The 13,655-nt window shown below is 44.8% G+C and overlaps 2 annotated features.

Annotated features, from left to right (window-relative positions):
- Positions 79-128: an enhancer, noted in NCBI's record as "active region_1739". NCBI's record gives its function as "activates an Ori minimal core promoter by ATAC-STARR-seq in GM12878 lymphoblastoid cells {active_cell/tissue: GM12878}" and the evidence as "EXISTENCE:reporter gene assay evidence [ECO:0000049][PMID:35858748]".
- Positions 219-418: an enhancer, noted in NCBI's record as "active region_1738". NCBI's record gives its function as "activates an Ori minimal core promoter by ATAC-STARR-seq in GM12878 lymphoblastoid cells {active_cell/tissue: GM12878}" and the evidence as "EXISTENCE:reporter gene assay evidence [ECO:0000049][PMID:35858748]".

The following is a 13,655-nucleotide window of genomic DNA, read 5'->3' as shown; positions in this document are numbered from 1 at the left end:
GCCCTTTTATTTTATTAATAAAGGACTCCTGCTTAGTTTTGAAGCATTCTGTCATGTGATAAAACTCGGCTTATAAAACAGCTATCATCTCAGAGGATACCCCAGGGGTGACCCAGATAGAGACCTAAATATGGCTGGCCTTAAAGGGACCATGTGTCATAGATCATAAACATTCAAGACCCAGTCAACCTCATGTGCATTCAACATGTTACACCTTTCAAAACCTCCACACTCGACTTCCCTGTCAGCTACATTATTGCCAGTCTACAGAGAGGGAAACTGAAACTTTGAATGAGGCCATATCTACCCCAAGGTCACATGAGGGCTAATGTCAAAGCCAGGGTTGAATTGCAGGTCTCCTGACACCACAGTCCCTCTCAGTCAGCTGATAGGAGTGAAATACTGGGCAGCTTCTTAGCAGAGGCTGCACTGATGACAAATTACGAAGCTGCTTGAGGTGGTCTCCACCTCTTCTTGCCCCAGTCTTCCTCCCGATTCCCTCCTTGGAAGCCAGGTACTCTTTTTTTTTTTAATTATACTTTAAGTTTTAGGGTACATGTGCACAACGTGCAGGTTTGTTACATATGTATACATGTGCCATGATGGTGTGCTGCACCCATTAACTCATCATTTAGCATTAGGTGTCTCCTAATGCTATCCCTCCCCCCTCCCCCCCACCACAACAGTCCCCTGTGTGTGATGTTCCCCTTCCTGTGTCCATGTATTCTCATTGTTCAATTCCCACCTATGAGTGAGAACATGCGGTGGAAGCCAGGTACTCTTTTCCCCGCTAGCGCTAGCGTGTCCTCCCTACCCCTTCTAAGAGATCTTCACTGATCCCTGTCTCACACTGCCAGACACAGCTGCTTTTTTATTAGTTACTAAACCTTATCAAACACTTCCATATGCGGTTTTCACAACACACTATGAAGAAAGCTAATTGTATTATACATTTTATAGGCGAGAAAACTAGCTCTGATGGTCGCTGGATCCAGAATCCAGGAGGGAGGGTTCACCCAAGTCTCTTAAATGGGTAATAGCTGATTTCCAAACACCCTGGCTGGCTAGGGCAGTGGATTATGCTTTCAAAGGAGAGGGGAGACTTCCTGCCACCCCTCAAATCAACCCCTCCAGATAAGGTGGGCCCTGGGAAGCTGTGTGGAATGGTGACTCTGCAGTCACCCCTCCCAGCCCCACTGCCCCAGCCGAGCCACGGGACTGTGTCCTGGCCAATCTGGAGTTCTGCATCTGCTTTCTTATCTTCAAAGGACCACGCTGTATTAAAAACCAGAAAGCCGGGCTCTGCATCTTCCCGCTCAGGGGAGCAGGCACCTGAGAGCAGGTGCGTGCCTGTGACTCCATCAGGGAAGGGAGGGCGCAGTTAAGACTCATTTCTGAAGCTGAGTCAAAGCTTGAGAAACCCAGCTCCACCCTGCAGGCAAACAATGGGGTAACTGGCAGAGGCCTGAGCACTGGGAGGGGACCTATCAGAGACAGTGTTAATAATTTAACTCTTAATCCAGACACATCTTCCTATTTGTCTCTGGATTTTGGAGAAAAGAAAGGTTGTTAATGACTTCATCTGGAGACAAATGGAACATATTTATTATGCCATTTCCAGGAATGAAAGAAGAAAAGGCAAAAAGGAGCATCCTGGGTGAATCATCAGAGAGTTTTAGGGGAGGAGGACCAAGCTTAGTAGAGAAGACAGTGGAGGTTTGGGGCCAGGGTTCCTGAATTTTAGCTGCTTGTCCTTGTAAGGTGAAAATTCAAAACCGAGCAAGTAGCATCTTATTTTAAAAATTAGATTTAGCTGGGCATGGTGGCTCATGCCTGTAATTCTGGCACTTTGGGAGATCCAGGCGGACAGATGGCTTGTGGCTAGGAGTTTGAGACCAGGCTGGGCAACATGGAGAGATCTTGTCCCTACAAAATAAATTTAAAAGTTAGTCAGGCATGGTGGCACATGTCTGTCATCCCAACTACTCGAAAGGGTGATGCAGGAGGATCACTTAAGCCCAGGAGGTTGAGGCTGCAGTGAACCATGATCGAGCCACTGCACTCCAGCCTGGGTGACCAAATGAGACCCTGTCTCAAAAAATAAAATAAAATAAAATAAAATCAGAATAATGTAATATTTGATTTATCTTAATTTTGGGTTGATAGTTAACCAGCAGTCATGGCTTAGAAAATTTTAGTTTCGTGTTTCTCCCTTCACTAATTACTTAACAATCTGTCAATAGACACTTTGGAAGATGCTACTTAAGGAGACCTTGCAACTTTTTTTTTTAAATGTAGGAAGTCCATTTGCAATATAAGTCATTTCACCCTCTAATTTAGGCTGTCTGCATAGAAGATGTTTTGATACCAATGTTAGATATTCTGTATGATAATACTAAAGGAAGTTCCTTTCACAGAAGGACTTCCTTGGAGGGAGAACAGTGAGAAGATGAATCTCCAGAAATGTGTGGTTAATTTATCTCCTCGCTCCACCCCTCATCCCACTATGATACATTTCTAGAAGACCCTAGGCAGTACTAGGAGTTTAGGGGGAAACGAGCCCTGGACCTTGTGTGATACACTGGTCTCCATGGAACATCCATAGACCATGCACTGTGGAAGCTGAGCACTGGTAGTGGAAGGGTGGGGGTGAGTAGCCAAGTCGCCCATCTGGGAAGCATGCTAGGATCTGCCTCATGGAAGACAAATGGAGCTGAAGCACTAGTCCCCCTTTCCTGTGATGTGACATGGTTGCAGTTAGAGACACAGGGAGGGAGCTGAGGGAGGAGGGAGATAGCTCTAGGAATACTCGCCCCTCACTGGCTGTGAAATCTTGGGTACATCCCCTAACTTTCCTGGGCCTCAATTTTCCTGGTTTCCAATATGAAAAGATTGGCCAACATTATTGCTAAGGTTCCATTGAGGGCTAAGAGTCTGTAAATGTATGATTAGGTCAGGGAAGGCAGCCTTGTTTCATCCTGGTGGAATTGACAGTGAATTGAGGGTGTTGAGGTTGATTTCAGGATCAGTGGGTAAGAGTGCCTTCCTTGGTAAATGGTGTCCGCTATGAGAGAGGTGAGTGGTCACATGCATGCAGGTAGCCACCATTCCCGATTCAGCCTAAAGCAGGGAGCAGTGTGCTAGAGCGTATACATAACAGTCCTTCAGGCACTTGAAGAAGGGGAGGGAATATAAACCGTTTAAAGATCTTGCATAAGCTACCACCACCTATAATTCCTGTTTTAGCTTCCTTAAGACAGTTCCAGACAAAACTATTCATTTCCAGAACTTGCCCATACTTTCCTGCCTCGAACTATTCAATCTGTCATGGTGCCCTACTCCCAGATTTCCCAGTGAAATTCAGTCTTCAGGAACCATCTTAAACACCACTTTCCCCATGGCCCCTTTCCCCAATCTTTCCCAAAAGATGTGCTTCCCTCCTTTGCTCAATATCCACAGCTTTTAATTTATGCTATTTGAGTGTTTCTCATCTATCCCTCACACTAACCAAGCGCATATTATATCCACTTCATACATGTGAACCAGCAAATGGACACATGAATAAATGGGTAGATGATATATAAATGAATCAGCTGAGAGTTTGGCCTTACAGGCAGAACCCATGAAGTCCTAGCATGTGTTTTGGACTAATTTATCTTTTCAGGTTCAGGCCAATGCTTAAGTAGCAATCCCTGTTTATCCGAACCATATACATAGCCCTTCCCTTCTCTTCTTCTACCTTGAAGATCTATGCTGCAATCAACTGTCACCTGTAAGAGGCCTCGTGCCTGGATGTTAATACACTGATGTATGTGTGGTGTCTGTGGAGTGGCTCTTTATATCCACCCAGAGTGCAAGCTCCTTAAGGGTAGGAAGGATGCTCAAGACAGAACTTACACCCTAGTAAAAATGGGTGCTTGGCCAGATAATAGACTAGCTAGTTGGTGAGCAGGTGTCCAATGACTAAAGGATGCTGCTGAGTGAGTCAGTCTGTGAGTGAGCAAGTGAAAGATGGAGGGAGGGAGGAGGTGGGTGCATAAATAAGAAATGAGCTGATAGACTAGCTGCCTAACTGGCCAGTTCACTGAACAACTGACTAGCTGGCTGGTTGAGTGTTTGATCAACTGATACATCGACTGTTTGGCTGGCTGGCTGGCAACTAATTTAGAAAAGCAAGTCCTGGTATAGTAGAAGAAAGAAAGCCCTGTAGAGGGTGAGGGGCTAAGGGTAGAAAACAAAACAAAAAAATGCTTTGCAAAGGATGCCCTAAGAACTGTATCATGTAAGCTGAACAGTTATTTCTTTTCTTTTTTTTTTTTTTTTGAGGTGGAGTCTCAAGCTGTAGCCCAGGTTGGAGTATAGTGTCATGATCTTGGCTCACTGCAACCTCTACCTCCCAGATTCAAGCGATTCTCCTGCCTCAGCTTCCTGAGTAGCTGGGACCACAGGTATGCACCCCCACATCCAGTTAATTTTTGTAGTTTTAGTAGAATGGGGTTTCACCATGTTGCCCAGGCTGGTCTCAAACTCCTGACCTCAAGTGATCCACCCACCTCAGCCTCCCCAAATGCTGGGATTACAGGCATGAGCCACTGCACCTGGCCTGGACAATTATTTCTTAATTTTTTCCTTCTTTCTTTCTTTCTTTCTTTTCTTTCTTTCTTTCTTTCTTTCTTTCTTTCTTTCTTTCTTTCTTTCTTTCGTTTCTTTCTTTCTTTCTTTCTTTCGTTTCTTTCTTTCTTTCTTTCTTTCTCGCTTTCTCGCTTTCTCGCTTTCTTGTTTTCTTTCTTGCTTTCTTGCTTTCTCTTAGGAGTTCCCTGTGATTTTCATTTCTAGTGTCAAAGAAAAAACATTTCAATGACACTTGTTGCATGTGTTGAGGAAAGACTCTATTCAGGACCATTGTGATAGATATAGGAACCATTGCAATGGGATTTTCAGCAGAGGGGAGGTTGAGCTCAACTCCAAATACAGCATGGGCAAATGAGAATCTATAGCCAAGGAGCAGGGTGGGAGTCAGTGGATGAAAAGTGACTAAGAGGAAACAGCAGAGCTAAGAAGAATTGTGGCTAAAAAAACCCAACAGGATTCTTGCTGAAGATAAGCCAGGGTGATCAGACTTCACATGGGGGATGGAGGAGGTCAAGGAACCTGATTATATATCAAGGGTAATCAGACATTGAGGGTGGGTGGTTCTTGGTAAACTTAGTAAGGTTGGTTCTTGGCTAAAACTGAATTTACAAGCAAGTACACAGGTAAGCCTAGAAGAAGTTTCAGGAGCCTGACTAAAGTTTGGTCAAGCAAAGAATCTTTGTCACTGGTCAACCAAGCTCAGTGGATGTAATGTCAACTAAAGACCAGCCACAGTAGCCATGGAGGGAGAGTAGCTCTCTTCCTGGAAGAAGATGGTTGGGCAACAGGACATTTCTGCTGATGACACTAACCAGTGGGGAGCCTGATTATTCCCCAGGCTTTGGGCCCTGGGAATGAAGAGCTGGGGCTCTGATTGTCCCTCAGGTCAGTGATGGTGGCTGAGATAAGAAACCAAATCAAACAGACAAATTAGTTGATACCACAAGCTGGGCCAGTCTGTCAAGTCAGTGCCCTGACCTCTGGCCAGGAAACCTTCTGGGGAATCAGCTGCATCAAGCAAAGTCTGCCAGAATCAGTTTCAGACAGTGCCATGTGAGCACTGAGACACTGAGTTCACGACCAGGACCCAGAGATCTGCGCAGCTGCTACTGGGCATTGAGACTGGCCTTGTATGTAGTCAGTAGGCTGAAATACAAATAGACCATGTGGCATATTCATCCCTCCTGAGCTGGATGAGAAGGGAAGAGGCAGGACTATACCTTGTATCCATGGTAAACAAGCCACTCCAAGCCTAAACCCGTCAGTGACTCCTTCAGGCCTCAGAAAAAAGTCCACAGTTTTTTACATGGTATAAAAGGCCCTTCACACATGGCCCCACTCTGAGAAGACTCACAATTTAAATTAAAATAAAGAAGAATAGGGCCAGGTATGGTGGTTCACGCCTGTAATCCCAGGACTTTGGTAGGCCGAGGCAGGCAGATCATGAGATCAGGAGATCGAGACCACCCTGGCTAACACAGTGAAACCCTGTCTCTACTAAAAATACAAAAAATTAGCTGGGTGTGGTCGCAGGTGCCTGTAGTCCCAGCTATTTGGGAGGCTGAGGCAGGAGAATTGCTTGAACCCAGGAGGCGGAGGTTGCAGTGAGCCGAAATCACACCACTGCATTCCGCTCTGGGTGACAGAATGAGACACTGTCTCAAAAAAAAAAAAAAAAAAAAAGTAGAAGAAGAAGAAAGAAAGAAAACTATAGTTCTCCAACAAGCCATTCCCTCTACCTGGACTGTGTCCCTAATCTGTGCCTGACTGATACTCTTAGCACTTCAGAAATGGAATCATTTCTTCCCTGAACATTTCCCACTCTGTGTTACCCAGGTGCCCATCTCTGTTCAGGAAGCTCCTGTCCTAGCACTGATTGTACTGTTTTAGAATAGGATATCCCCTGGTCTGTCCCTCTGTTAACTGTGAGCTCCTTGAAGGCAGGAACATTCCCTAGTTTCCATTGACTCCTATGTGTAGTATAAGTACCTGACCTATAGGAGATACACAATGAATATGTGTTTGAAAAATCAAATATGTGGTAAGTCCAGAGAGTACATATAAGTGTAGACTCTCCCACAATGTGGTTGTAAAGGAGAACTTACACCTGCTTGCCTGATGTGGAACAGTGCAGTTTGCTAGACACTCCTGAGGCCCTTCCGTCTCTGTGGCTCATGGCAAACTTACCTCTAATATGTTTCATTTCATGCCTCTAATATGTTTCTGAGCTTTTCTTCCTTGCTCAGTTATGAGCCTGTTAAAGGCAGGGGCCTATCTTTCTCACTCTTGGTTCCCTCCCTCCACTCAGTGCCTTAGAGCTGCTGGCACACAGGAGAAGTTGACAAAGCTTGCTTGGGTTGCCTAAGATGACGTCTACAGTTCAAAAAAAGGCAATGCTGGGATCGGTAATTCCAAGGGGCAGATAATACAGCAATCTCTGCGGTGGGTGAGGTAAACTGTCGTATTGTTCATAAACAGTTTGCTGCCTGTTCCCCTCTTCCCCAGGGAGCACATTTCCCTGCCGCATTGCTGATGGCAGCCCTGGCCATGTGACTTGCTTTGTCCATAAGATGTAAACCTTAAGAGCCATGGTTCACTATGCCCTCTTTCCTCTCTCCTCAGAGGACTGACCATGTTCCAGACCCAGGCTGCTCTGTCAGTCTGGATCCTGAAATCCAATTAATGTGCAGCAGGGCTGCAGCTGATCCTCAGTGGACATGCAGGATAAAAACAAAGGTTATAAATAAGCCTATGTTTTAAGCCCCTGGGATTTGTGGTTCATTGGTTACCGAGGCGTAACTTAGCCTATCCTGACTGATGTACTGGCACATACAAGCACTGACTTTTTTCTCCCAGGGAGATTTCCCTCCTAGTTTTGCTTGACACTGGCCAAAGGGAAGGTAAGTGCTTAATTCCAGTGTATGCTACCGGCAGTTAAGACAGCGACTTAGGTGTGTGTATGGGCCCACGTGTGTGTGTGTGTGTGTTTGTGTGTGTGCACATACGTCTATGTGACTGCGTGTGTACAGGTGGGGGATACAAGAGGAGAGAGAGGGGAAGGGAATATGGAGAAGCCAGCCTGGGCATACACAGTACATGACAAAAACTATTTGTGGGCAGCTGACATTTTTCTACTAATAACTTTTTGTCTGTGGTTGGGAAGCTAAATAAACCATCTCCTTCCTCACTCTGACCCAGGAAACCTTGCGTCAAACCACGTAAGTCAGCCCTCCAGGCGGTTAGGGCAGAGCGCTACCTGCTGGGCAGGGCTAAGCCGGTGCACCTGCTTCTAATTTCAGCGGAGTTCTTGCCGCAGGAGGCTGTTGGCTGACCCACAGGACCCACAGGACCCACAGGACCTGGGACCCTTGGACCCAGCTGAGACCTTAGTGATCTCTGTACCTCACTGTACAGGCAGAGAAACAGGGCCATAGAGCCCTCAGCTGGCACTCCTCCTATTCCCACAGCCATTCAAGCTGGACTACACTCCTGTCGGAGGAGGTGCCAGTAACCTCCCCATTGGAACCAGTGCCTTGGTCCCTTTGCCAGGTACAGGCATCATTGGGGCTTGATGCAGACGGGCTGGCTTCAGTCATTGCAAGGGGTGGGAAATTAGGAAGGGTTCCGTGGAGTTCAGGCAAGTCAACCTGGGAAGAGAGCAGGAGCTCTCCCTGCAATGGATTCCATTTACTAAACAGCAGCTACATTGTAGCCCCGGTCTCTATAGGAGGAGAAGCACCACCTCTGTTTAGTAAATAAGAAAACTGAAGCCCAGAGAGGGTAACTTGCCCCAAGTTGTGTAGCTGGTAAATGAATCAAGCCTGAGTTAGTTTGGCTCAAATAACTTAGACTGAGTCACACTGTTTCTCTCGGGAACCATAAGCTCTCCATGCCTGTTGACTGCACCTTCCAGCACAGGGCTTGTGAACAGGCAGGGCTCAGGAGGCATAGGCCGCCCGATGCCATGCGGTTCTTTCGGGGAGTGAGTGAGCCGCAGAGATGGTAGAGTGCAGAAGGAGGGGGTTGCTGCACAGACAAATGGTGTGTACAGAGAGCAGGCCTTGGCCGGAGGCTGTGTTGGGGAAAGCGGCCACCCCCAAGCTAGGGTGAGGCCACTTCCTCCGAAACCCAGCAGTAGTTTGAACATGCAGGTTCTCCATCAGTACACCTGTAAGGACCTCTAAGTGTCACTCCCTGTGTTTGGGGAACAAGCAGGTGGTGAGACTGGGACAAGGAGACAAGTGACCAAGTGATTTAGACAGAGTGTGACAATTCCTGGCCAGCTAAGTGCAACTTACCACTAGACATCACCCAGGGAAGGCTGTAGGACACTTAAATCTCCCCTGGGCTTCTGGACAAGGTGATACCTGAGCAAAGATCTCTGCCATCTTTTCCCTTTAAGAACAACCACCATCACTAACCACTGTTGTTGAAGGAGCAGGGAGAAGTATGAAGTGCTGTTCTAGCTTTGGAAGGCCGGGAGATGCTTGCGTGTGCTCCTGGGTTGTGAGGATATGGTGGCTTTGGCCTCGTCAAGGCAGGACAGGGGTTTGCCAGGAAGACACCCTTGCAGTGAAGCCTGTGCTGAAAATGAGTAAACCATGCTTATTGACCAGATAATCTGGCCACATATCACCTCTATGCCCATTGACCTTTGGTTGTGACTGAGCCTTTGGTATGTTTTTTGTTTGAAGGCTACTCTGGCTTCATTTTAGTTCTGAAGCAAGGACTTTTAAAAAAAGAAGCCACAGTTAGCAAGAAATCTCCAAGTGGAGATTTCTTGAGAAGCATGAATTGTGCTGAACTCCCACAGATCCTGTCTCAGGGGTGATTTCCATTGCCAACCTCAGAGGATTATCTTTAAATTATTTAAGGTAGTGGAGAGTTCTCACACAGACTGCTGTAATTACCACTCAGACCCTAGTCGTCTTCTTGCAAAGACTCCTTTGGCTTCTAGCCCTGGGCCAGAGAGCCCTTCTTGGCCCAATCTGGAGATAGAAGGAGCTTGTTATCAGCCCTTGTGAGCTGCAGGTGTCCTTCTATCGGCATCTGCAGGTGAGTCATGAGGCTCTACCTGGCCTTGGTACATCTTTTTACAAGGTGCTGGTGTTACAGGAAAGGGGCCCCGATCCAGACCCCAAGAAAGGGTTCTTTGATCCTGTGCAAGAAAGAATTCAGGGTGAGTAAAGTGAAAGCAAGTTTATTAAGAAAGTAGTGGAATAAAAGAATGGCTACTGCATAGACAGAGCAGCCCCGAGGGCTCCTGGTTGCCAATTTTTATGGTTATTTCTTGATTATATGCTAAACAAGGTGTGGATTATTCATGCTGCCCCCTTTTAGACCATGTAGGGTAACTTCTTAACATTGCCATTCGTTTATAACTGTCATGGCACTGGTGAGAGTGTAGCAGTGAGGACGACCAGAGGTCACTCTTGTGGCCATCTTGGTTTTGGTGGGTTTTAGCCGGCATGTTTACTGCAAGGTATTTTATCAGCAAGGTCTTAATGACCTGTATCTTGTGGTCACCTCCTAGCTCATCCTGTGGCTTAGAATGCCTTAACTGTCTGGGAATGTAGCCCAGTAGGTTTCAGCCTCATTTTACCCAGCTCCTATTCAAGATGGAGTTGCTCTGGTTCATATGCATCTGACACTGGTGCCTGCTGTTTTATTTGGTCTCTCCTACTTTACCCACTGTTCTCTGCTACCTGCCTTACAACCAAGGGGCACCTGCCCCCTGGGATGGCAAAGCCAGCACTATTCTATTGACTGCTCCCAGTCTGTACTAAGGAGAATCAAAATGAGCACCTTAAAAAACAAACAAAAAACCCCCAAGATTCTAATTTAACAACTCTCCTCACAGGGGGCCGCAGTGATAACAGGGCACGATGGAAGACCATTGGGAAACTATTAAGATTATGGTTGCTGGTGACACTTTCCTGATTGTTCACAAAGACAATAGCATGCACATATGCATATGTACACGCAGATGAACACATGTACAGGCATGAAGACATGCGTGCACACACACATATGCATACACACACACTTTGCTCTCAGGGTGCCAAGGCAGAGGACACCACCTAAATCTAGTCTTATGCTAAGAATGGAATAGGGAATTCAATGAAGACAAAAGGAATATGGCTTACTGCTTCCTGTCACTCTTAAAAATCACTGACCTCTCACCCTTTCCCATCAGAGAAGCCCTAGCATGCACACTTGTTTCACCATTTATATTTTATTTCCTCCAGGCTATGAGGAGCAAGATAAAGGCCATATGAGGAGCAAGATATGGCCAGCTCCACGGAGGCCATAACCTGCATCTAGGCATTGCATTAGACATACCCAGAGTTCCCTTTCAACTAGTGCAATGAAATGTAGATGAGAAAAACCTCAGCCCTGCCTGCCTTGGAAAATATTCAGCTTAGCCATGGGAACCATAGTCAAAAGGGTGGGCCTGTCAAAGATCAGATAGTTGTAGGTATGCGGCGTTATTTCTGAGGGCTCTGTTCTGTTCCATTGATCTATATCTCTGTTTTGTACCATGCTATTTTGGTTACTGTAGCCTTGTAGTATAGTTTGAAGTCAGGTAGTGTGATGCCTCCAGCTTTGTTCTTTTGGCTTAGGATTGAGTTGGCGATGCAGGCTCTTTTTTGGTTCCATATGAACTTTAAAGTAGTTTTTTCCAATTCTGTGAAGAAAGTCATTGGTAGCTTGATGGGGATGGCATTGAATCTGTAAATTACCTTGGGCAGTATGGCCATTTTCACGATATTGATTCTTCCTACCCATGAGCATGGAATGTTCTTTCATTTGTTTGTATCCTCTTTTATTTCCTTGAGCAGTGGTTTGTAGTTCTCCTTGAAGAGGTCCTTCACATCCCTTGTAAGTTGGATTCCTAGGTATTTTATTCTCTTTGAAGCAATTGTGAATGGGAGTTCACTCATGATTTGGCTCTCTGTTTGTCTGTTGTTGGTGTATAAGAATGCTTGTGATTTTTGTACATTGATTTTGTATCCTGAGACTTTGCCGAAGTTGCTTATCGCTTAAGGAGATTTTGGGCTGAGATGATGGGGTTTTCTAGATAAACAATCATGTCATCTGCAAACAGGGACAATTTGACTTCCTCTTTTCCTAATTGAATACCCTTTATTTCCTTCTCCTGCCTGATTGCCCTGGCCAGAACTTCCAACACTATGTTGAATAGGAGCGGTGAGAGAGGGCATCCCTGTCTGATCTTTGACAAACCTGAGAAAAACAAGCAATGGGGAAAGGATTCCCTATTTAATAAATGGTGCTGGGAAAACTGGCTAGCCATATGTAGAAAGCTGAAACTGGATCCCTTCCTTACACCTTATACAAAAATCAATTCAAGATGGATTAAAGATTTAAACGTTAGATTTAAACCATAAAAACCCTAGAAGAAAACCTAGGCATTACCATTCAGGACATAGGCGTGGGCAAGGACTTCATGTCCAAAACACCAAAAGCAATGGCAACAAAAGCCAAAATTGACAAATGGGATCTAATTAAACTAAAGAGCTTCTGCACAGCAAAAGAAATTACTATCAGAGTGAACAGGCAACCTACAAAATGGGAGAAAATTTTCACAACCTACTCATCTGACAAAGGGCTAATATCCAGAATCTACAATGAACTCAAACAAATTTACAAGAAAAAACCAAACAACCCCATCAAAAAGTGGGTGAAGGACATGAACAGACACTTCTCAAAAGAAGACATTTATGCAGCCAAAAAACACATGAAAAAATGCTCATCATCACTGGCCATCAGAGAAATGCAAATCAAAACCACTATGAGATATCATCTCACACCAGTTAGAATGGCAATCATTAAAAAGTCAGGAAACAACAGGTGCTGGAGAGGATGTGGAGAAATAGGAACACTTTTACACTGTTGGTGGGACTGTAAACTAGTTCAACCATTGTGGAAGTCAGTGTGGCGATTCCTCAGGGATCTAGAACTAGAAATACCATTTGACCCAGCCATCCCGTTACTGGGTATATACCCAAATGACTATAAATCATGCTGCTATAAAGACACATGCACACGTATGTTTATTGCGGCATTATTCACAATAGCAAAGACTTGAAACCAACCCAAATGTCCAACAATGATAGACTGGATTAAGAAAATGTGGCACATATACAACATGGAATACTATGCAGCCATAAAAAATGATGAGTTCATGTCCTTTGTAGGGACATGGATGAAATTGGAAATCATCATTCTCAGTAAACTATCGCAAGAACAAAAAACCAAACACCGCATATTCTCACTCATAGGTGGGAATTGAACAATGAGATCACATGGACACAGGAAGGGGAATATCACACTCTGGGGACTGTGGTGGGGTGGGGGGAGGGGGGAGGGATAGCATTGGGAGATATACCTAATGCTAGATGACGAGTTAGTGGGTGCAGCGCACCAGCACGGCACATGTATACATATGTAACTAGCCTGCACAATGTGCACATGTACCCTAAAACTTAAAGTATAATAAAAAAAAAGGGTGGGCCTATATGAAAGACAGATCTATATTTGTTTGTTATTTTTAACAAATTTTTATTTTGGAATAATTTTAGGTTTACAGAAAAATTGCAAAATAGTACAAAGCGGTTTTATATATCCTTCCAGTTTCTCTAATGTTGACTTTTTTCTTCTTTTTAAATTTTTAAAGGAATTTTATTTAATTTATTTTTAATTGACAAATGTGGTATATCTTTATTGTGTACAACAGAATGTTTTGAAATATGCATAAATTGTGGAATGGCTAAATTGAGCTAATTAATATATGTGTACCTTCACATACGATTTTTTTTTTTGTGGGGAGAACACACAATCTACTCTTAGTGATTTTCAAGTGTATAATACATTATTAACTGTAGTCATCACTTGTAGGATAGATCTCTTGAACTTATTCCTCCTATCAAACTGAAATTTTATATTGCTTTGACCAATATCTCCCCAGTCCTTCCCCAATGCCCAGCCTCTGGTAACCACCC

Source organism: Homo sapiens, chromosome 1 (genome assembly GCF_000001405.40).
Source record: "Homo sapiens chromosome 1, GRCh38.p14 Primary Assembly".
NCBI classification, from domain to species: domain Eukaryota; kingdom Metazoa; phylum Chordata; class Mammalia; order Primates; family Hominidae; genus Homo; species Homo sapiens.
Note: the sequence above shows the minus strand (reverse complement) of the source record. Positions and strands in the feature narration are given on the sequence as shown.